Genomic DNA, 25,407 nt, shown 5'->3' with positions numbered 1-25,407 from the left:
ACAGATAAAAGGATAATAGCTATCAGTTTAAAAATACAATGATATTTCAACTTAAAAATTATTCATCAATTTGACATTACAAAAATTCATGTAAATCGGATTTATACATTCATTTAATATGGACTGTAAGTACCAAGAAGTATTTTATGTCTATAATTTTGAAAATGCAGATGTTTAAAAATCTTTGGTGACAGCATTGCTGTAGGCCGCAGTATTGGGGACCTTATTCTGGGAGAGTAGGTCCTTTTGCATTTTAAAGTGAGATATAACACTTTTCCACTTTCTAGAGCAGGAGGTACTGTTTTGGGTATAGCCAATAGGATGTTTAGAAGTGTGCTTAAATGCCTCTTGCAGTGGGTTTGGACTCACTCCACAGGATTTCTGATTTCTTGCTTCTCTCTTGGTGGCTTGGGTGCTCCAGGCTTCAGTTACCTTATCTGTAAAATGTGTAAAATCTTGCTTCAGTTACCTTATCTGTAAAATGTGGGGGTTGAGGTCTTTTTCAACTTTAAATACATGTATCTTGTCACGTTTGTTTCTGCTGCTTTCTGTGTTAAGCATAAAGACATTATATCTTTTCCTCTGAAGTTTTTGGTCTCTACTTTTTTTTCATCTTCTCTCCCCTACCCTTATCTCTCTCTGTGCATCTTTCCTTCTCCAGTTCACCTCTTTAATCTGCAGGTTTGCCTTGGTATCTATAAGGTGGAATTGAAGAATTATTTGTTCTTAGAAAATAGAATTTTATCATTAAAGCTTTCTTTGAAGGAAGCCTGAATTGTGTTCTTATTTGCCCAAATATCCCTTGATGGAAGAAACTCTCTTAACTCCCATTTGAGTATGTGCGGCAGGGTAGGTGGGAAATAAGATTCTCTTTAAAAAATTACATGTTGAAGTATTGCTTCTTTTTATAATCACAAGTGAACAAGAACAGTGTGCTTTTGATGACGTGCTTTCTTTTTATGCTGCTAATTAGACTTTTTTGATTTTTGTGCTTACCAAAATACTAACTCTTTTGTTGATAGATGCTCAGAATTTCTCGTTTCTACGATGTAAATGGTCTAAAGGAAATGTATGTTTTTTTTCAACATGATTTTTTGAGATAATAATCTCATTAAAAAAAAACTTTGACTCCAGCTAAGCTTCTTATTTTATAGCTATGACTTCCTGTGGCTCTTTAACTCCCTTTTATTTACAGTTTGTGTGGAAACGGAGTTTCTAAAGATATTTGTTGTGGATAAGGATTGAACAAACAATTTTTTGTATTTTTGCATAGTTTTTGATTTTTTTCCAAAGGAGTCTGTTGATTTTTAGTTCTGTACTCTAGAAATAATTGTTGAATTCACAACATAATTGGTTATTTTTATGTATTGTCATAGAGCTATTTAAGAGTGATGTTTTAATAATTTCTTCTAGTGAAAGAAGTTCTGCTAGATTTAATAAAACATTTTATACATTTTTACACCAAAATATCAAGCCAATATAACTGATCAGGGAACCATCACTTATCTCTTAACTGTGTGGATAAAAATTTAAATTAAAACACAATTCACAAATTTGTTTGTTACTTACTACTGCTTTATCTGTAGTATCACAGATATGAGTTTAAAAGTTTCTGTATGCTGTCTTTATGATGTTTTCTGAAATGCCAATAACCAACTCAGTAGCCAAATGAAATAATTTTTTCTTTTAGTTCTAGAAATATTCAGAAACAACTGCACTTTTTGCCTTAATCACGTTTGTCATGAAAAATATGCTGCTGGAATAACTTGAATATTAGAAATAAATCTCAAGCTTCTGGCCCTGTAACATTCGAAGCTTTAATTCTCTCCTAGCAGTGCAGATTGTCTGGAGAGCCAGAACTCTTTCATAAATCACATGCTGGTCTCAGTAAATAGAAATAAGCTTCTGCACTGAACATGGTAGATTCTTTAGAATGGAGGCTTTTCTGGAATTAGTCTGAAATTAGAAGGGATTTTCTATGAGGTTCCTGAGCCAGGACTGTTCTCATTAAATTCCAAAAGCAATGCCTCCCTACAGAAGAAAAAATTCCATTTCTTTGTATGTATGTGATGCTCAAACACACGTGATAGAGAAACTTGCTCAGTCTTCTTAGATAGACTTTCAGTGACTTGCTTTATGAATTCAGTTAAGTGAACTTGGATTTTAGTATCAACTTTAAAATCATAAAAATAAAGTAATACTACTTATATATGTGAATTTGTTATTAAATATTAGAATAAAATTAAAATCAGTGTGTTTGATGCACATGCAGATAAATGCATAATATTTTTTTTCTTCTCCAAATTAACTTTAGATTCAAATGTACCAGCTGTCCAGGCTCCTTCATGACTATCACAGAGATCTCTACAATCACCTTGAAGAAAATGAAATCAGCCCCAGTCTTTATGCTGCCCCCTGGTTCCTCACATTGTTTGCCTCTCAGTTTTCATTAGGATTTGTAGCCAGAGTTTTTGGTAAGAGATACCTGTAATTAAATGGAACAGTATTATTTATTCCAAGGACTATACTTCTACTTCTAGCCATATGATGCCCCTATTGTTCTATCATGTGTTATACAGAATAGCAAATTGCTAATGGAATTTAATAAATGTGCCTGGCTGTGTTCTGACAGTAACTTAAAATCATACTTGTCTTACATAAAATTGAAATTAAAAAGGAAAGAGGAATTGGGCTCCTGTATTTGAGTCAGCTGTAATGGAGCTCTTATTTTCATTTGTGCCTAAAAATCAGAGAGTATACTCCTAAAATCTGGACTAGGGACAGACTGTGTATAATTTTCCAGATTTTTATATACATGTTTCTACCCCCATTGTCTTCTTCATCTTGCATTCAAAACACAGAGAAATATGTTCTTAACTGTATCAATGTTGTTTCTAATGGCATTTCTTAACCTGACTTTTTGTTGTTAACAGAATAACTTTACATCCTGTTTCATTGCTCATGTGACTCTTCTTTCATGCCAATGCAGTGCTGGGGGACAGTCTCTAAGACTGGTGGCTCAGGGAAAACACTAAGTACAGTCAGTAGAGCTCAGGGCAAGTTACTGAGTAACTGCCTTGCTCTAAGCACAGTGTTTGGCATTGGGAATAAAAAGAGAGTGTAACATGGTTTATGTCCCCTTTGGAGGCCCTTAAATCTATTCACAAGTCTTTATACTAGTCTAAGTCTGTTATTTAAAAAGCAAAAATTAAAACAACAACAACAACAACCAACTCTTCATCAGAGGTTTGTTCTAATGATGTTGTTTAGGACCTCAGTAGCCTTAGAAAGGGCTCCCTTAATTTTTATGTTCTGATAATCTATTTAGTAGACATGGGCAAAGCAGTCAGTATTCACTCACAACTGCACTTCTGTTAAATTGGAGCTTTTTGTCAAATTGTATTGGCGCCATTGTAGGTCATTGCCAGTGTTTGAAAAAATGAAACAGCATTTAGTGAAGATATTAGGGAATATTACAAATAGTAAGGAAATATGTTGTTTGGAGAAATTTGTTTTGAGGATATATGTGTAATGTATATATATACCAGATTACAACATATGATATCTTTCTTATTGAGGGCTGTGGTTTAAAAGTTAAACACTGCATTAGTGTTACTACAATTTATAAAATGCAGCAAAAGAGTAAAGTGAAAATGCGCTGAATCAAATGTTCACCAGATTTCTCTTGTTTATTGAATATACACTATTGCTTTTCTACAGTGACATTTTCTCTGGAGCTTGGGTTCCTATTAATGGGTATTCTATAAATCCTTTTGTTTATATACATTTTTCTTCCCAGAGAATAGTGTATCAAATCAAAATGATGTTTCAGGGCACCTCTCTTTTACTTACCCTTGGAAGCTTGATATCAAGAGTTCAAGAAACAAATGTCCTCAGTATCAGTTTTTTGTCATGAGAATACAAATGATGCTGTTGGCTATACAATAGCTGTTCAACTCTCTTCTTTGAATTTATAAAACAATGGAGACTGGCAGGAAATGGAAAGATGCATGAGCAAGAAGAATTACTATGAAATAATGATTCTATGGTTCCCTCTTCATTAAAGACTCCCTGTTGTATATTATTGATTAAAGAATGACATAGATTGAGAGAAACTTTCATAAAAAAGTACTAAGTACTTGATACTTTTATTTCTTTCTTTTTTTATTTTTCTAAGACTGAGTCTTGCTCTATTGCCTAGGCTGGAGTGCAGGGCACAATATCAATTCACTGCAACCTCTGCCTCCTGGGTTCGAGCGATTCTCCTGCCTCAGCCTCCCGAGTAGCTAAGACTACAGGCATGTGCCACCACACTCAGCTAATTTTTGTATTTTTCGTAGAGACGGGGTTTCACCATGTTGACCAGGCTGGTCTGTAACTCCTAGCCTCAAGCCATCCACCCACCTCAGCCTCCCAAATTGTTGGGTTTACAGATGTGAGCCAACACGCCCGGCCTAGTACTTGATACTTTTCAAAAGTATTGCATGTTTGTATTTGTAGGAAAGCAGGGCTTAGAGTTAGGGTAGCTCTTATATTTCTCTCCTGATTGAGGTTGTATGTTTTTCATTTGTTTTAATTTTTCTGTTAATGTTTTTTTTTTTTTAATTTCCTGGTGTGGTATAGATTTAATTACATAGCTGGTTCATTTACTTTTTATTATGGTAATGAGAGTTTGAATAGTACTCATTGGTTATGTTAATTTGTTTTTGTATTCCTGTTGTGAAGAAAAATCTAAATATCAATTGAATAACTGTCCTTGAGGTTTACCTAGTCTCCATTAAATTTGGCATTAAAAATTACAAGTAGTTCATGGACAGAGATATATACTTTGTCCTTTTTTACCCTGGCTTTATCTGAGATTCTTAAGAGGAATATTAAAACATCTGCTTATATGTTTAGTTATATTGCTTTTTTAAAAAAAAGCTAGATGCTTTTGACCAGTTTTCTTCTGCAAAATACATAAAACAAGTAAACAAAAACCTTTAGCACAAATAGCGTGCTTTTTACAAGAGTGGATGCATAGTTTTGATCATGAAAATTATATCTCTTCTTTTAGATATTATTTTTCTTCAGGGAACTGAAGTTATATTCAAGGTTGCACTCAGCCTACTGAGCAGCCAAGAGACACTTATAATGGAATGTGAGAGCTTTGAAAATATTGTTGAGTTTCTTAAAAACACGCTACCTGATATGAATACCTCTGAAATGGAAAAAATTATTACCCAGGTATGATTTAAATGCTAATAGTATTATATAGCAGTTTTCTCTACTGAATATATATTAAATGCTTTAGCCTAAAAATGTAGCTTTGCTTGACAGATATTTTCATCAGATACATTTTATTTAGAAAGGGGACTATTGTGAAATTTCTACACTGTGACATTTTCTATCTGGCTATGCACAAAAAATGCTGTTTAGTGCTACGTAATGAGTTTTTCAGGAATCCTTTCAATTTAAACCAATGCTAAAACTGAAGATAGAACTGACAGAGTCAAGAAGGCCTGAGAATAAAATCAGATCCTCTTGCCTTTGTTATATTGTTAATTATTTTGTAAAATAAACGAAGAGGACACGTGGCAGGAGTACAGGCTTTGGAATTAGAAGGTATTGGGTTTGCATCTACTTCTGGCTTTTTAATTGGTTGTTTGGCTTGCACACATCAGCCTAATCATCCAAACCCTAGTTGTCCAGAATGGGACAGTACTGGACAAGTTCCAGAATGGGATGATACTGATCTGAGAGGTTTTATGAAGCTTCAGTGAGGAGACTTGGTGTATCAGTCTTTGTCCCTACAGGAAACATTCTCCCTCCGATGATTCAAATGAAGGAACCATCTATAAAGGTGTGGGTAGGCGTAAGGCAATCCAACACAGCTGTCCAGGTGCGAAGGAACTAGTAACATAGGGAAGCTGTTCAAACCCCTGCTGCAGAGGAGCTAAGTGGAGGATATAATAGTGTTACTAGGCCCAGGGAGAGCTGGAACCGTGGAGGAGGGTTCTGTGCTGGTTGTTGTGGTCTTGTTGAACTAGGCAGAGAAGGATCAGGGAAGAAATACCCAACCCTTTTCTCCTGCCCCTTCTGATCTTGTGCTGGCATCTTCTATTTGCCAAAGTGAACCAGAAGCCAGCCAGAAAGTAAGTGTGGGGAATTGTCTGCCTGCCAGGGTACAATAGAATGGATGAGGGCAGAGAATTGATCTGAGAAGCAAATTGAGAGTAATCTGCACACCGTATGTGTAGTCCTTGACTCTTCATAGGGACCAGGTGAGTGGTAGCTATATATTGCTGCCGTTCAGATGCAGTGGACAAGCTTAAGAGCAGCTTGATAGATTTGACAATTATGCTTTATGAGCATTGATAAAGTTTACCACTTTCCTGAAGGCACTTTTGATGGCAGAAAGACGATAGGGTTTAGAGAAAGGGAGTTTGGAACCTTGTTCTGGTGCCCAGCCATTTACTAGCTGTGTACCTATGGGCAAGTTACAACCTCTCTGAGTCTCAACCTCTTCCTCTACAAAATGGGAATAACAAAAGTAGATTCTATTATAGTTTTGTATTATTTTAGGAGCAAATATAACCAATATGTTAAAGTATTTTGTACCCTGTAATTCATACTATAATATGAACTCTTATTATATTAATACATGTAAAATTTTATTTCCATTACATGGAATCTAAATCACAAATATCTATAAATAGTTTGTATTTGTTAAAATGCTCTGTAAGCTGAAAAGTGTAGCTTTTATTTATATATTCACTTGTTTATAAATTTTTCAGAAATATCTTTCTTGACTGGAATCAGATATTATGCTTTTAGAGATTTGAAATCAGATATCACCTCCCTTCTAAAATTAATGAGGAAATTGCCTGGCTTTATAGATTACTATTGGGATTAATGAGTAGAATTTATAGGCAGGTAAATTTGAACTTGATATTGGAGAGAATTTACTAACAATTAGAGTTGATTACTGTGGAATGAAATGCTGATATTAAGGGAGACTTTGATGAACTTTATTTATGGACACTGGAAAAAAATGCAAATAATGCAGAAAATCACAAGAAAATAAAAGTAACTATAAATCTCAACATCTAGAGATAATCTTTGAAACTTTGTATTACATGTTTCTTTGCTTATATATACATATAAAAATATATAAAGTTGTACATAAATGAAATCATACTATATATACTATTGTGGAACCTGATTTATAATTAAAAATATAAAGTATTAGATTTTTTCCAGTAACTATAAATCCATATTATCATTTTTAATGGTTGTATAATAATCCATTGTATCCATACCCACTAAGTAAGGAAAAGATGATGGTTATTTGAGGATAACCAGTTAGTCTAGAAATTCTCTTATTAAAATTCGAATGTTTGAGTATCTCTATTAGTAAGTAGTAGAGTAAGTCAGGTTTTTTGTGGTTTCTTTTCTCTTCTCAGTGTTAGTATAGACACCATTGCTTGAATAGCAGCTGTTGTCTCTCCTTCCCCCTAGGAAGTTTGGAGTAACTGTCCTCTAGCTTCAAAGCAAACGACCTTCCTATTTAGTGGTGACATGGGAGAGCAGTAGCAGCCCTAATTAAACCTTACAGCCCTGGACAGTGCTCACAGTGTGCAATTTTGAGGATTCTCTGTGTGGTACAATATGTAAATGACTCTTAAGAGGCTTACAGGGAATAGCAAATGGATGCAAAATTTTATTAAGATCTTTCTGCTCCATTGGCAAATAAATTAGAAATGCTTTTGGTTGCTTTATTACAGTAATACCCTATGCAATTTTGCTTACTAATCAGCAGAGATTATCTCTAACATAATAATTACTCAATAACTAATGTTGTTTATCTAGTATACTACATTTTGGGAGACAGTTACTAGATTATGAATATCTTAGCTGCCAAATACACTTGGACATTAATTTATTCTAGGGACTTAGCTTCATGAGAATGTTTCAATTGCATAGAAATAATCTATCTGTTCTGTTTTTAAAGAAAATCTTCTTTCACAGAAAGAGCTATCTGTTTTTATGTTGACAGTGTAAACTATATCTAATTTATTCTTGTATTGACAGTTACACTTTTTTTTTGCTTTTTTATGCTTTAATGTTCTTCATTAATAAGTATTTGGAAATATACATGAAATATACCAAGATAAACAGGCTGTATCTTGTTATACATACCAAAGGCTAGCCTAACCCATGATACTTTCATGGCAGGTTTTTGAGATGGATATTTCTAAGCAGTTGCATGCCTATGAGGTGGAATATCATGTGCTACAGGATGAGCTTCAGGAATCTTCATATTCCTGTGAGGATAGTGAAACTTTGGAGAAGCTGGAGAGGGCCAATAGCCAACTGAAAAGACAAAACATGGACCTCCTAGAAAAATTACAGGTAAAGAAATAAAGATTTGAGCAAATAAGTACTTCAATGCCTCCTGCATGCACAGAACTACCTCAGGAATGAAAGGGATATGTGCGTGGAATGAACCATTGCTAACCAAGAGCCCATGTATCAGACTGTCCAAGTGCTCTGGGGCTACAAATGACATGTTAAATTAAACATTACTTGGAAAAAAATGCACCCTCACAAAATAGCTAAATGGCAGTTCAAAGTGGAATCTGCTTAAATACCTGTTGCATGTTATAGATATTTGGTTAAATTAAAGGGAGGAGGAATTGAATGTAGGAAATTGATGAAGTTGTGAAGGACCTGGGCTTGAGCTGGAATCTGGAGGGTTGGTGGAAGAAATGAGTGAGGAGGGTCTTTAAGTCAGGCTGAGTAGGAGGGTGGCATCAATCAGAAGGACATGGCAGAGCAGCAAAGTTAGCCTAGTGTCAATTTAAGATAGAGGTTGGGGAGAGGTAGGGTAAATATGATAGAGGCAGAATCGTAAGTGACTTTCAGTGTCAAGCCAAAGAACATGGCTTTAATCCTGTCAAGAGGGAAATCTCTCAAAGTTTTTGGGCCATGCTGTAGAAAGATCAATCTGGGAACCTTGACGAGGACAGATTGAGATGGGAGAGAAGGTAAGGAGGCCTGCTAAAAGTCACTTGTGAAAATCTGTTGCGGATGATGAGAGTTGTCTAGACTAAAATGGAAATTGGAAGAGAGGGAGACATGTCTAGGTAAATTGAATCCCATGCAAATGTTACATGTAATATTAATACATCATTCCTGCCATCAGGGAGTTCACAATTATTTGAGAATATAAAATACTATATATCTGTCTCTAAGCGCACACTTATACATGCAATAAGAAATTTATTATAAAGTCATATTCGGTATTTGCAACTTGTATGATGTGTGCTATGTAGCCATGCCCTGAGGGGAGGGGCTTAAGAGTGATCACAGGATGGGGGCTAGCAGGTGACCCTTCTGAAGTCTTCGGGGAGATGACTTCAGGGGAGTTTCAGTGTCTAATGGCTCCTCGGTTTCCACTTACTCCTCCTCTCCATTTCCCCAACACTGCACCTGGCTACAAACTGGAAAACACTAAAACTCTGCTTCTATATGGTGAGTCCCCTGTCAAGACCAGTCAAGAGAGACAGGTTAGAAATGAGGGATCTCTAAAGTAGTTGCTTCCCAAGAATGGGAACACTAAACTTCCTTCGCTTTGTCTTACATTGGCTCTGGCTCATAGAAAATGTAAATCTTTTTTTCTATTCAAAAAAGGGCAACATACTCTATTTTCAAAAAGAAAACTAAATGGTTAGTATATTGTCCATTTTTAGTTGGATAGGTCAATGGCGATTAATTATTTGCCCCTTATTAGGGAAGGTGGGTTTGTACCTGTTTTATAATGATTCGTCTGAACTGTTGTAGACTTTTTCACTGACAGTTCAGTGTAGTCATCATCAGTTACTTGGCCACCCCTCACATCTATAAATACTGATGAAAGCCCAAGTGTATGTTTAGAGAACGCCGTATTTCAGTCAGAGAAGGAAAATCTCTTTTAGCACTGCAATAGTGTCAGGAATCTCCTGTTTCTCCTTCAGCCAGGCCAGATCCCACTCACTCAGGGGAACACCAGTGGGTGTAGAATAAGGATTCCTACTGTTGGTGAGGGGGGTGATTTAGTATTGAATTATTCGTGTGTTCAGTGAGAAGAGATGAAGCATGGTAGTTCCATAGTTACATCTTTGTGAAACCTAATAAATCATCGTTTCCTGTAGGTTTTCAGAGTATTTGCTTCACATAATATTTTATTAAGTAATTTGAAGTAATTGGTTAATATGTGTAAGGACTGTCTCCTACTATAATGAATCATTTGATTTGGAGGATTTTTTCCCCCCCAAACAGGTAGCTCATACTAAAATCCAGGCCTTGGAATCAAACCTGGAAAATCTTTTGACGAGAGAGACCAAAATGAAGTCTTTAATCCGGACCCTGGAACAAGAAAAAATGGCTTATCAAAAGACAGTGGAGCAACTCCGGAAGCTGCTGCCCGCGGATGCTCTAGTCAATTGTGACCTGTTGCTGAGAGACCTAAACTGCAACCCTAACAACAAAGCCAAGATAGGAAATAAGCCATAATTGAAGAGGCACGGCCTCAGCAGAAAGTGCTCCTTAGAATACTACAGAGAGGAAGAGCCTGCATGTCGCTGGCCCAAGGCTGGACCCTGAAGCTGATGGAACCACCTAATACTGGTGCTGAGCGCCTAGTCACAGCAGGTGGACCTCGTGCTCATCAGAGCATGCCAATCCTAAGCCATTGGACATATGTAGACTGGTTTTTGTTGTTGCTATGTACATATAAATATATATATAAAATGAACATAGTTCATGCTTTCAGATAAAATGAGTAGATGTATATTTAGATTAATTTTTTTAGTCAGAACTTCATGAAATCCACACCAAAGGAAAGGTAAACTGAAATTTCCCTTGGACATATGTGAAATCTTTTTGTCTTTATAGTGAAACAAAGCCAGAGCATCTTTGTATATTGCAATATACTTGAAAAAAATGAATGTATTTTTTTCTCCAAAGAACAGCATGTTTCACTCAATGGTGAAAAGGTGGAAACATTTATGTAACTTTATGTGTATCTGTCTTGATATCTACTGACATTGTCTATATGAGGAAAATGATTACTGGTCATGCTCCTGTGAGTTTTTTGGGAAGGTAGGGTCATTTCTCCCTGCCTGCTTTGTGCCAACTAGCATGTTGCATCTACATGCATTATGAGTCTGGTTAGGCATTACTTTAAACATACATAAAGAGACAGTAGGACATTGTGGCTGAGTCTACCCAGCTCAAGGTAAAGGAGAATGTTGCTAATTTTTTAGCAAACTAGACCAGCATTATTACTCAAACTAAAAATATCACACCTGAAAAATTTAATTTAGGACCTAAAATGTCTAGATTAGCTTTCTGCTTTTTTTATTTGAATAACTCATTCAGTTGTGAATGAATTCCTCTTTATTTGGTGCCACAGTCACCAAATGACAAGGATTTGCCACTTTCCCACCAAATTGTGAGTGCTTGTAATTTAGGTCTCTCTACCTTAAATTCAGTATAAGGAAACGTAATTATGATTGATTTTTTCCAAAGATGACAAGCTGTGTTGAAATACATTTTTTCTTTTGACCAATTGACAGAATCTAATAAGCTTTAATAATCTTCCCCTTTTATGTGAAAAGTTTTGAGAACTGTGAAATGTTTAGGAACAAACTGTTGAAATCCATTGGAAGGGAAAAAAGAAAGTGGTACCAGTGTTACCAGCTCAACTAAAACCTGCAATTCTGCATTTCAACTCTTCACTTCCTCAGCCTACAAATAGCTCATTAGATGACATTCACGCATGCTGGGTATAGGCAAGGAAAGTAATTTTCAAAGTACATTTGCAGTTCTCTTTTTCAGAGATGATTCTATGATAGTGCCTCTGAAAGTTGATGCAGCATTTTTGCCTTTCCAAAAAGTATTTATCCTCACTGCTTTTTGCAGTACTTGTATTTTCACAGATGGATTATCTGGGGTAATTTTCTTCAAAGGGAGTTTGTTATACACAGTGAAAATGTATTATAGAGTAGAATAGTAAAGCTCTAGGGGTTTCAGAAAGCTTTGATGAACAGATGACAAACATCTGAAACCCCCTCCGCACTGTTACCCAGTGTGTATATAATGACTTGTTATAGCTCAGTGTGCCCTTGAATCCATACAGTTTCTTAAAAGACAATAAAATCTTATTAATAAAGTTAATGTAACTTCTAAGTTCTAGAAAATGCTGATTCTGTCTGCCCCATTCAATTGGGGGCTACTAATTGATTTGTTGCTTGGATTTCCTGAGAATTTCTCTATTTGTAGGAGGGGTTTTTTCTTTTTACGGTCTGTTGATGACAATTACTTTATGGGTGTGATGCACCGATGGTAGCCAAGGAATCTGTTGGGGAAGTTCGGAAAGAAACCTTTTCTTTCTTTTATTCAGTTTAAAGTAAACTTTATCCTGGATGTTTAGAATCAACATTAAGAGTTATATTATGGTGTTCAGAGATTAAGCTGACTTGGATACAATATTTTCTTTTGAAAATGAATTTTCTTTTTCATTTGTGATTTTTAAAAAATGTTGCACCAGTTATGCTTCATGCATCGTTACATCTTCATCAGGTTAATGTAATGTCTAGTTCCTTTGCAATAAATATATTGCTGCAGCTTTCTTGACGTATACTGTTACTTTTCGGGAGAGAAGCAGCTCTTGGTTAGAGTCTTTTACTGCAGGGGTCCCTGGGTACCTGTCTGTGGCCTGTTATGAACCAGGCTGCACAGCAGTGGTGGGCATGCGAGCAAGCATGACTGCCTGAGCTCTGACTCCTGTCAGATCAGCCACGGCATTAGATTCTCATAGGAGCGCAAACCCTATTGTGAACTGTGCATGCAGGAGATCTATGTTTTGTGTTCCTTAAGAGAATCGAATGCCTGATGATCTGTCACTGTCTCCCATCATCCCCAGATGGGATCGTCTAGTTGCAGGAAAACAGTCAGGGTTCCCACTAATTCTACATTATGGTGAGTATATAATAATAATATGGTGAGGATATAATAATAATAATAGAAATAAAGTGCACAATAAATGTGCTTGAATCATTGAATCATCCTGAAACCATCCCCTGCCACCAGTCTGTGGAAAGATTGTCTTCCATGAAACCAGTCCCTGGTGTCAAGAAGGTTGAAGACCGCTGCTTTACAAGATCTGCATGGTGAAACCCCATCTCTAGGGAAAATACAAAAATTAGCCAGGCGTGGTGGTGTGCATCTGTAATCTCAGCTACTCAGGAGAGTAGGAGAGGCATATATTGCTACTTATAGGAGGCTGGAGAATAGTTTGAACCTGGGAGGCGGAGCTTGCAGTGAGCTTGCAGTGAGCCATCATGCCACTGCACTCTAGCCTGGGCCACAGAGTGAGACTTTGACAAAAAAAAAGAAAAACAAACAACCAAACAAAAAAGATCTGCATGGTTTGGATTGTACCTACTTAAAATTGCTACACAAATAATTCTTCCTAATAGAGTCAGACAACAAAGATAATTTAGGAGACATTTATGTAAGTACATTGTTACCATTTTTCAACTTACTTTCTCAATGGAGACTTTTGAAAGAAAAATATAAGCAACCACATTGACAGATTTGCATTCTACCCTTTTATTTTCCAGGCCCCCTCATAGATAGCAAGGGAGAGAGAGCCACAAGAAAATACAAAATTTTCCAACTGGACGCAGATAATTAAGAATTAAGGACATTTACTGATGGATGTGATATGAATGTTTTTATATAAAATATGCATCTCTTGGAGTATTCTCATGTATATTTGTAATCCAATAAAAATACACTGTATCTTCTTGCTAACTTTAGGACTAACACTTTTAACTATTTTTTGCTTAATGTAGTAGTTAAGCATTTTGAGAAGGAGGCACTGTAGGCTTAATAGTACAGTCTCTTAATATCCATGTTGACTTTTACCCATTTTGTCACTATTTCACCAATTATTTTTTCACAGTACCAGATTAGGAGTAAGAAATCTACCATCTGATGGCATGAAGTATTTAGTCCTTCTACCATGATGTGACACTCTCATTATATTACTCATTAGCTGTGATATAATGAGAAAAGCACGGGATTTAGGGTGAGAAGTTTTATATCTGTGTCTTGGTTCCACCACTTTTATTTACTCATTCAACAAATAGTTTTTCTGAGACTATTCTAGGCTAGCTGCCTGAAATTCAGGGGTGGAGAAGATACAGTCCTTGTCCTCAAAGAGTTTGTATAGCCAAACAAGACAAAGCAAAAATAACAAATCTGGAGGCACCACATTACCTGACTTCAAACATACCGCAAGGCTACAGTCACCAAAACAGCATGGTACTGGTATAAAAATAGGCACATAGACAGTGGAACAGAATAGAGAACCCAGAAATAAAGCCAAAAACAACAACAGATCTTCCATAAAGCAAACAAAAACATAAAGTGGGAAAAGGACACCCATTCAACAAATGGTGCTTGGATAACTGGCAAGCCACATAGAAAAGGATGACCCTCATCTCTCAACTTTTACAAAAATCAAGATTTATATCTAAGACCTGAAATCATAAAAATTCTAGAAGATAACATTAGAAAAACTCTTCTAGACATTGGCTTAGGCAAAGACTTCATGACCAGAAACCCAAAAGCAAATGCAACAAAAACAAAGATAAATAGATGGAAATTAATTAAACTAAAAAGCTTCTGCACAGCAAAAGAAATAATCAGCAGAGTAAACAGACAACCCACAGAATGGGAGAAAATGTTCACAATCTATACATCTGACAAAGGACTAATATCCAGAATCTACAAGGAACTCAAATCAGCAAGAAAAAATCAATCACATCAAAAATTAGGCTAAGGACATGAATAGACAATTCTCAGAAGAGGATACACAAATGGTCAACAAACATGGAAAAAAATGCTCAATATCACTAATTATCAGGGAAATGCACATCAAAGCCACAGTACAATACCATCTTATTCCTGCAAGAATGGCCATAATCAAAAACTCAAAAAATAATAGACGTTGGCATGGATGTAGTGAAAAGGGAATACTTCTACACTGCTGGTGGGAATGTAAACTAGGACAACCTCTATGGAAAATAGTGTGAAGATTTCTTAAAGAACTAAAAGTAGATCTGCCATTTGATCCAGCAAACCCACTACTGGGTTTCTACCCAGATGAAAATAAGTTATATGTTGACTTACAGATATATATACATACATATATACACATGCACACACATATACACATACATACATATATACATATATATAAGTTTGTGTGTGTGTGCGTGTGTATATTACATTTTCTTTATCCACTCAGTGGGCATTTGGGCTGGTTCCATATTTTTGCAATTGCAAATTGTGCTGCTATAAACATGCATGTGCAAGTATCTTTTTTGTATTATGACTTCCTTTCCTCTGGGTAGATACCCTGTAGTGGGATTGCTAGATCAAATGGTAGATCTGTGTGTGTGTGTGTGTGTGTGTGTGTGTGCACACGTGGTGTTCTATATATGTGCGTGTGTGTGTGTATACACACATGGAATATAGTATTCTATGTGTGTGTGTGTATATATATACATGGAATATAGTATTCTATATATGTATATATATAGATATACCTGGAACACTACACACACACACACATATATACATGTATATGAAATACTACTGAGCCATGAAAAAGGAACGAAATAATGGCATCTGCAGCAACCTGGAAGGAGTTGGAGATCATTATTCTAAGTGAAGTAACTGAGGAATGGAAAACCAAACATATGTTCTCATTCATAAGCAGCAGCTAAGCTATGAGGATGCAAAGGCATAAGAATGATACAGTGGACTTTGGAGACTTGGGAAAGGGTAGGAGGAGGGTAAGGGATAAAAGACTACACACTGGGTGCAATGTACCCTGCTTGGGTGACAGGTGCACCAAAACTCAGAAATCACCAGTAAAGAACTTATCCATGTAGCCAAAGACCACCTGTTCTCCAAAAACCTATTGAAATAAAAAATAATAAAAAAGAAAACAAGAGAGTTTATACATTATAGTGGAAAAACAGATATGCAAAGTAGTAAAAACAAGACTCATTTCACTCAGCCTGGATGGGGGACTGGGTGGCATTGGAGTGGGTATCAAATGTGGTCTGAGGATGGGATGCTTGATCTGAGTCTGAAAGCTGCAGTAGAAGTTGACTAGGTTGTGTAAAGCAATATATGAAAGATAGGGGGTGGCACAGCAGATCCTCAAAGTGTTGTTTTATTACAACGTTCATGAGAAAAAAAGTAGATTCCCTGCCAGGGCCACTGCCTGTGTGGAGTCTGCCCATTCTCCCTTAGTCTGTGTTTGAGTTTCCTCCCAGATCTCAAGGATGTGAATTAGGTGAGCTGACATGTCTAAATGGTCGCATTGTGAGTGATTGTAGGTAAGAGTGGCCCTGCAATGGGATGGCAAGCTGGCCAGGGTTGGTTCCTGCTTGGGATCCTGAGATGCTGGGATGGGCTCCAGCGAACCAAGACCCAGAGCTGGAATAAACCAGTTGGAAAATGAATGAATGAATACAACTGATTGTAAAATAAAAATTGATAAACTTTACAATACATGTATGACACTAACGGATGCAGTATGAAAGTGCTCAGCAAGCCCTCCATGTTTGTGATGGTTTTTGAACTTCATGGTTGGAGGAGGTGTTCCTGACAATTTTTGCATTTGCAAATATTTATTCCTTGATTTTCCCCACCACAATGACAAATGCTGTTACTCGCAAGTTCACCAAAAAGGTGGCAAATGATTATCTTACTTGTTTTCATTAATCTTTTTTAAATGTATGTATAATTCACATTTACTTCAGTGTTTGATATTAGAAGTGTTTGGGGACTTCATTTAGAAGTTTGGTGATGTTTTTGTGACCAGAAACATACTGTAGGAACTTAACTTTTGTGTATATCAATTAGCTTATGATAAAATCGGTTTCCTTGTACATTGTGTCACTTAAAGTCAGTTTCCAAGAATCTTACTATTGCCGGGTCTGTCCCGTAGACCCTGACCGACGGATGAAATGAGTACTCAGACACAGGTATGTAGTGTAAGAGCAGCTAGGGGACTGCCTGGTTCAAGTGGCCAGAGTGCAGCTCCAAGCAGCTGGAGCTGCTTGCTTTTTTTAGTGCAGGAATAATGCTGAAAACCTGGAGCCAACAAAACCTGCAGGTAATTAACATTTATTGTTCTCCTTTCAGGGAACATCACAAGCAGATGATCAAAGGTCAGTTCCTCGTCAACATAAGTAAACAAGCCTGTTTAAGATAAATTGCCTCACACTCCCTTGAACCTACTCCTTACCCTCTGCCTCAGGGTTATAGAACAGCTGCCTTCAGCTATTCTACCGCAGGGCTCTGCAGAACCTTCTGATCTTTCAGAAGGTTTGCATCCTTTCCCTATAGTTTTTCCCACCACTCTGACCGATCCCCCACATACTATGGTGGTAAGTGACGACTTACTGTTTATAAATCATAAGTCATTCCTTAATTTTGAAGTGTAGTAAGTATACTTAGTAAGTGTAGTTACATGGGGGTGTAGTGGGAGATGAGTCCCTGACACACAAGGACTCTATCAAGAAAGTCTTTGTAGACCATTGGAGGCCATGTGAGGTCGTTTTGAGTTCTGCCTAGCAGGCAATGGCACCATTAATGACTGATAACCTGGAGAGAGACATCTGGTTTGCTCCAATTCATTTTATACATTTGAAGAGAAACTAGAGAGTAGGAGTGTATAATTAGGTGAATGCAATAAAAATAAGGGCCGAACAAAACAGAACAGTATAAGCCTGATCTAGGGCAGCGGACTTTGGGAAAGAAAATGGCCCTTTACTTCTCTTTCTGATATACCAGTCACTGAAACTTAATAGTTTTGTCTGCAAAATATTTGTCCCCCCTTTTCCCCAATCCCTGCAGCAGCTACCTTAGTTTATTCATGCTCTTGCTCCAGTGGATTAAACTGAGACCATCACCCACTTCTAAGGGCAAATTCCTAAGCCACAGATATTGAACTAGTTGTTTTTTGTTTTGTGGAGTGAGAAACGCAAGTAGAAGGTGGGGCTGAATGGCTCATTAGAAGAGCCAGGAAGGATCCAGAATTGAAAGGGAATTCACTGGAAGCATAGGAAGAGACCAATAGCAAAGATAAGTGAAGATTTTTGGAGCAAAATGCTATTATCCCTTCAGTCTACTCATGACATTCAGTACAATGTCAATATCTTGGTGCTCCATGTTGTGGAACCGGATCTCCTTTGATACAAGTTCTCTTTCAAGGTAGTGTAGCAGTGGAGGTCATGCCAAAGGGAGCATGCCCAAACATGGGTTATCATTTCTAATCTGGATTGCTCCTTGCCATTAGTGCTTCTCCCCTTGGCAAAGAGAACTTCCTAAAACATAAATCTTATTAAGTTCATCCTCAGCTTAAAAGCCTTCAAAGCCTTTTTCTTCCTCCCAGGATGAAGTTCAACTCCTAAAATGAAACATTCAGTTTTTCATGAGCAAGTCCTTAATAACCTGTCCAGCATGATCTCCTGCCTCTGGCCCCATCTTGTTCTGTGCTCAAATCAAATGGCTAAAATGCTAAAATCCATCAGTTTCATGAACCAGCCTTTCTTTTGCTTTGCACAAGCCGATCCTTTCTTCCCACACTCCTTGGGGTTCACTCCTGTAGGATACACTTGGGTCTCTGTAATAGGAGGAACCAACCACACCCCCACTATAGCCTAAGGAGTAGCGTCACATCACTGGCAACCTGGGAGGGAGTACAGGGGAATGGGGGAGCAAGGCGCTGCTGACCTTCATGGATTTCTCAATACCCCCGATGACATTATGCATACAAAAACCTTGAAGAGGTCCTTCACATCCCTTGTAAGTTGGATTCCTAGGTATTTTATTCTCTATGAAGCAACTGTGAATGGGAGTTCACTCATGATTTGGCTCTCTGTTTGTCTGTTATTGGTGTATAAGAATGCTTGTGATTTTTGCACATTGATTTTGTATCCTGAGACTTTCCTGAAGTTGCTTATCAGCTTAAGGAGATTTTGGGCTGAGACGATGGGGTTTTCTAAATATACAATCATGTCATCTGCAAACAGGGACAATTTGACTTCCTCTTTTCCTAATTGAATACCCTTTATTTCTTTCTCCTGACTGATTGCCCTGGCCAGAACTTCCAACACTATGTTGAATAGGAGTGGTGAGAGAGGGCATCCCTGTCTTGTGCCGGTTTTCAAAGCGAATGCTTCCAATTTTTGCCCATTCAGTATGATATTGGCTGTGGGTTTGTCATAAATAGCTCTTATTATTTTGAGATACGTCCCATCAATACCTAATTTATTGAGAATTTTTAGCATGAAAGGCTGTTGAATTTTGTCAAAGGCCTTTTCTGCATCTATTGAGATAATCATGTGGTTTTTGTCTTTGGTTCTGTTTATATGCTGGATTACGTTTATTGATTTGTGAATGTTGAACCAGCCTTGCATCCCAGGAATTAAGCCCACTGGATCATAGTGGATAAGCTTTTTGATGTGCTGCTGGATTTGGTTTGCCAGTATTTTATTGAGGATTTTTGCATCCATCTTCATCAGGGATATTGGTCTAAAATTCTCTTTTTTTGTTGTATCTCTGCCAGGCTTTGGTATCAGGAGGATGCTGGCCTCATAAAATGAGTTAGGGAGGATTCCCTCTTTTTCTATTGATTGGAATAGTTTCAGAAGGAATGGTACCAGCTCCTGCTTGTACCTCTGGTAGAATTCGGCTGTGAATCCGTCTGGTCCTGGACTTTTTTTGGTTGGTAGGCTATTAATTGTTGCCTCAATTTCAGAGCCTGTTATTGGTCTATTCAGGGATTCAGCTTCTTCCTGGTTTAGTCTTGGGAGGGTATATGTGTCCAGGAATTTATCCATTTCTTCTAGATTTTCTAGTTTATTTGTGTAGAGGTGTTTATAGTAGTCTCTGATGGTAGTTTGTATTTCTGTGGGATCAGTGGTGATATCCCCTTTATCATTTTTTTGCTGCATCTATTTGATTCTTCTCTCTTTTATTCTTTATTATTCTTGCTAGTGGTCTATCAATTTTTTTGATCTTTTCAAAAAACCAGCTCCTGGATTCATTGATTTTTTTGAAGGGTTTTTTTGTGTGTGTCTGTATCTCCTTCAGTTCTGCTCTGATCTTAGTTATTGCTTGCCTTCTGCTAGCTTTTGAATGTGTTTGCTCTTGCGTCTCTAGTTCTTTTACTTGTGATGTTAGGGTGTCAATTTTAGATGTCTCCTGCTTTCTCTCTACAATTCACTGCTCAACAAAATAAAAGAGGACACAGACAAATGGAAGAACATTCATGCTCATGGATAGGAGGAATCAATATCGTGAAAATGGCCATACTGCCCAAGGTAATTTATAGATTCAATGCCATCCCCATCAAGCTACCAATGACTTTCTTCACAGAATTGGAAATAACTACTTTAAAGTTCATATGGAACCAAAAAAGAGCCTGCATTGCCAAGTCAATCCTAAGCCAAAAGAACAAAGCTGGAGGCATCATGCTACCTGACTTCAAACTATACTACAAGGCTACGGTAACCAAAACAGCATGGTACTAGTACCAAACAGAAATATAGACCAATGGAACAGAACAGAGCCCTCAGAAATAATACACACATCTACAACTATCTGATCTTTGACAAATCTGACAAAAACAAGAAATGGGGAAAGGATTCCCTATTTAATAAATGGTGCTGGGAAAACTGGCTAGCCATATGTAGAAAGTTGAACTGGTTCCCTTCCTTACGCCTTATACGAAAATTAATTCAAGATGGATCAAAGACTTAAATGTTAGACCTAAAACCATAAAAACCCTAGAAGAAAACTTAGGCAGTACCATTCAGGACATAGGCATAGGCAAGGACTTCATGTCTAAAACACCAAAAGCAATGGCAACAAAAGCCAAAATTAACAAATGGGATCTGATTAAACTAAAGAGCTTCTGCACAGCAAAAGAAACTATCATCAGAGTGAACAGGCAACCTACAGAATGGGAGAAAATTTTTGCAACCTACTCATCTGACAAAGGGCTAATATCCAGAATGTACAAAGAACTCAAACATATTTACAAGAATAAAACAACCCCATCAAAAAGTGGGCAAAGGATATGAACAGACACTTCTCAAAAGAAGACATTTATACAGCCAACAGACACATGAAAAAATGTTCATCATCACTGGCTATCAGAGAAATGCACATCAAAACCACAATGAGATACCATCTCACACCAGTTTGAATGGCGATCATTAAAAAGTCAGGAAACAACAGGTGCTGGAGAGGATGTGGAGAAATAGGAACAGTTTTACACTGTTGGTGGGACTGTAAACTAGTTCAACCATTGTGGAAGACAGTGTGGTGATTCCTCAAAGATCTAGAACTAGAAATACCATTTGACCCAGGCATCCCATTACTGGGTATATACCCAAAGGATTATAAATCATGCTGCTAAAAAGACACTTGCACACATATGTTTATTGTGGCACTATTCACAAGAGCAAAGACTTGGAACCAACCCAAGTGTCCATCAATGATAGACCGGATTAAGAAAATGTGGCACATATACACCATGGAATACTATGCAGCCATAAAAAAGGATGAGTTCATGTCCTTTGTAGGGACATGGATGAAGCTGGAAACCATCATTCTCAGCAAACTATCGCATGGACAAAAAACCAACACTGCATGTTCTCACTTGCAGGTGGGAATGGAACAATGAGAACACTTGGACACAGGAAGGGGAACATCACACACCGTGGCCTGTCGTGGGGTGGGGGGAGGGGGGAGGGATAGCATTAGGAGATATACCTAATGTAAATGATGAGTTAATGGGTGCAGCACACCAACATGGCACATGTATATATATGTAACAAACCTGCACATTGTGCACATGTACCCTAAAACTTAAAGTATAATAAAAAAAATAAAAAATAAATAAAAAACAAAAAGCTAACTTCATCTTTAACCTGCCAGAAAAACATGTTAATGGACTTTGGAGAGATAGATGTAGTTATGTCTAGCACTTTATGTTTCTTGATGGCCTAGTATGGATGGGTCAGACACTGCTAGATTGTAGGACCTCAAAAATCTCTCTCTCTGGAATTCTCTGTGTCAGTTCTCATCTGATAAAAGCACAATTTTTATGAAAAAGCAAAAAGGAGCAGGCAAAGTCACACTTTGTAAATTGTAAAAGTGTTCTAGTGCTTTGCCCTTCATTGTAAATATGTTACATGCTTGTGCTATGTACAAGTTATATCCAATGCAGTATATTATGGCATATCTCCTACTTCACATTAAATATATTGTGATACAAGCTATTAATATAATAGGGTATTTGCACTGAATAATCCCAGAACATCACTTACATAGACTATAATGTGGATGGTGCTCCCTGGAGTTGTGTAATGTAGCAGCTGATAAAATATATTACATATGATACGGTATACATATTATACTGAGAACTGACACCATGTATCCCACACTATTTATGGTCTATATTAACATGCTTTTACTATTCCATTGTCTACATTGATATAATTTTATAATTCTAAAGCATTCTTATCCAGGCAAATTATTTCATTGTTCATTACAGGAACATCCCAAAAGACCCATGAACTTTTCAATAGACAGTTTATATCCCAAGCTTCTCTGAACCCCCTCATCTCAAATTTCACACTTGCTCTTTCCACCAATCATATTATTATTATATCATGATTTTCACCCTGTCTTAATCAAGAACTACATTGAAATACACCCCCCCAAACAAAACTTCCCCTCTGAGACACAACCAAAGCTCTGTTGAGTTGGTGTTCTCCCTTACTGTGATAGGCAATAAACTCAGTTGTCTTCATAACCTCAGCATATGAATTTTTTTCTTCCTTCAGTTGAAAAGTTTCACCTTTTGACTTGCAGGTAGCACTTGACAGCTTCTCTTTGGAATATCTGAATTGCCAGTATCACTATTCTTCAGCTTAGGGGCCATTATTAAGTAAAATAAGGGTTGCTTGAGCAGAAGCACAGCGATGGCTCAACAGGTGATCTGGTAACCAAGAGAGCTACTGCGGGACTCACAGGCAAGTGAGGCAGGAGAATAGGGTCTGGAGGCAGGGAACATAAGCCTGATTCATGCTGACTTCCTAGAACTAAATCAAATGGAAACACTTCAGCTATGACAGGAAATATCCTCTCCATTTACATAGGGCTCACACTGTGTAAATGACTTTGTAACTTTACTTCATCCTCTTTGTTGACATAGGGTGTACACCAAGTAACCAATGGAAACCTCCAGAGGATATTTAAACCCCAGAAATTTCTGTAAAGGAGCCCTCGAGCCCCTATGCTGCAGCCCGCTCCCACCCTGTGGAGTGTACTTTCATTTTCAGTAAATCTCTGCTTTTGTTGCTTCATTCTTTCCTTGCTTTGTTTGTGCATTTTGTCCAATTCTTTGTTCAAGACACCAAGAACTGGGACACCTTCATCCAGTAACGCAAGGAGTGTAGACAGCGTGGATATGCCAGACAAAGGGTCAGTTCATGTCCTAGATGGGACAGAGTGGGACAGTGTGAGATTTCATCACATGACTCAGAACAGTGTGTGATATAAAATGTATGAATTATTTATATGTGGGATTGTTCGTTAATATTTTCAGACCTCAGTTGGCCCCAGATAACTTGTGGAATTTTTCATTTAATATTTTCAGACCTCAGTTGACCTCAGATAACTGAAGTCCTGGAAAGAAAAACTGCTTATGAGGGAAACTATTATAAGGGGTACATGCTATTATTTTCTCTTTTGTTTTCTTACCTTCTTACTTTGCTTATCTTATACTTAATTTCTATTTTCTTTCTCCAGTCCTCTTTTCCCAAAGTTATATCTATCTCAGATCTCCCAGTAATTCCCATCATTTCCTACTGTAATTGGTGCCTAGGGATACAGGCAGTGTTGACTCTCCTAGTTACTATTCCTACAATAATACAATGTAGAAAACATTGGGATTGAACTAAATATTTTATTTACTATCAGGTGCATGAGGTCTATAAATATTAATACCTGGGCACTACAATGAGGTATTCTCTAAAACCTCATAAATAAGGGAAATGTGATATTCTTTGAAGTGAAATCAATAATTTTGCTCTCATCTACAAGGTCGCTTTAGACAGAATACTTCCTGGATCTGAAAGCTTTGACTGTGATCTAATTGAATATGTTTGCACAGCTAAAGAAGGATTAGGTTAATTAGAAAAGAATTGTTTAGCCTTAGAAATATAGAAGAAAGAAAACCAGGCAGTTTGGGCAGATCCAGGTGGAGGGAACCTTAGCCAAGATCCCTGGCAAAGCTGCCCTTTATTGTGAAATTGAATACAGGGAGACCTGGCCTCCAGAATACAAGCGTTCTGGCTCCTCTGACAAGTCTGTCCCCATTGTAAGATTGATGTCATCTGTGATAGACACATGTCCTAAACATCCAACTCATTGTACTCCCCTTGTTCGAAATCTACGCCCTCAGAGCAACTTTCCATTTAGGATTTAGCTTTTCTGGATGTCATAGAGAAAGGTTAGTCTAGTTTTAAAACTCCCTATATTCAAGTCCCTGAAACAGTTCTGTTTTTCAATATCAACTTAAAACAGGGATTTCCAATTTTTAGAATTATGGTAAAATATATGCAACATAAAATTTACCATCTTAATCATTTTTAAGTGTAGAGTTCAATGGCATTAACTACATTTACTTTCTTGTGAAACCATCACTATCATCCATCCCCAGAACTCTTTTCAGCTTGCAAAATTGAAACTCTGTACCCACTGAACATTGAGTCTCCAGTCACCCCTTCCCCAGCCCCTGGTAACCACCATTCTCCTTTGTCTATGAATGTGACTACTGTGGGCACCTCACTGAAGTGGAATCATACAGCATTTGTCCTTTTGTGACTGATTTGTCTTACCTAGCATAATGTCTTCAAGGGTCATCTAGGTTGTAGCATGTGTGAGCACGTCTTTCCTTTTTAAGGCTGAATAAAATTCCATTGTGTGCATATATACCACTTTTTATTTTTTCATTTCTCTTAAAGCGACACCTGAGTTGCTTCCACCTTTTGGCTATTATGAAAAATGCTGCTATGGACATGGGTGTACAAATACATTAGTCTCAGGAGCTTGGTTTTTGTGAGTCCACCCATGAAGAATGAATCTGTGGTTTGTGTGCTGATGAAATCAAACTGCTGAGCCTTCAAGGGCCCAACTGGAAAAAAACTTACCAGGGTAAATGACATTTTTGGGTGATTTCTTGCTACTGTTATTATGTAGAAAAAAATCCTAGAA

The 25,407-nt window shown here is 37.3% G+C and overlaps 1 protein-coding gene across 11 annotated transcripts in view; it reads left to right on the top strand.

The window, feature by feature from the left end:
• The window catches only part of TBC1D4 (TBC1 domain family member 4), a 198,667-nt gene extending 184,842 nt beyond the window's left edge, over positions 1-13,825 (top strand). For 9 of the 11 annotated variants that reach the window (XM_047430811.1, XM_047430810.1, XM_011535331.3 and 6 more), the window contains 4 exons: positions 2,315-2,474; positions 5,057-5,226; positions 8,218-8,394; positions 10,303-13,825. In XM_047430811.1, the coding sequence (XP_047286767.1) occupies positions 2,315-2,474; positions 5,057-5,226; positions 8,218-8,394; positions 10,303-10,536 (741 nt within the window). In that variant the 3' untranslated portion in view covers positions 10,537-13,825. The remainder of the gene's footprint in view (positions 1-2,314; positions 2,475-5,056; positions 5,227-8,217; positions 8,395-10,302) is intronic. The other 2 variants (NM_001286659.2, NM_001286658.2) reach the window with 1 other exon arrangement.

This window comes from Homo sapiens, chromosome 13, assembly GCF_000001405.40.
Source record: "Homo sapiens chromosome 13, GRCh38.p14 Primary Assembly".
NCBI lineage: Eukaryota > Metazoa > Chordata > Mammalia > Primates > Hominidae > Homo > Homo sapiens.
The sequence above is the reverse complement of the archived record's forward strand: the minus strand, read 5'-3'. Positions and strand labels throughout refer to the sequence as shown.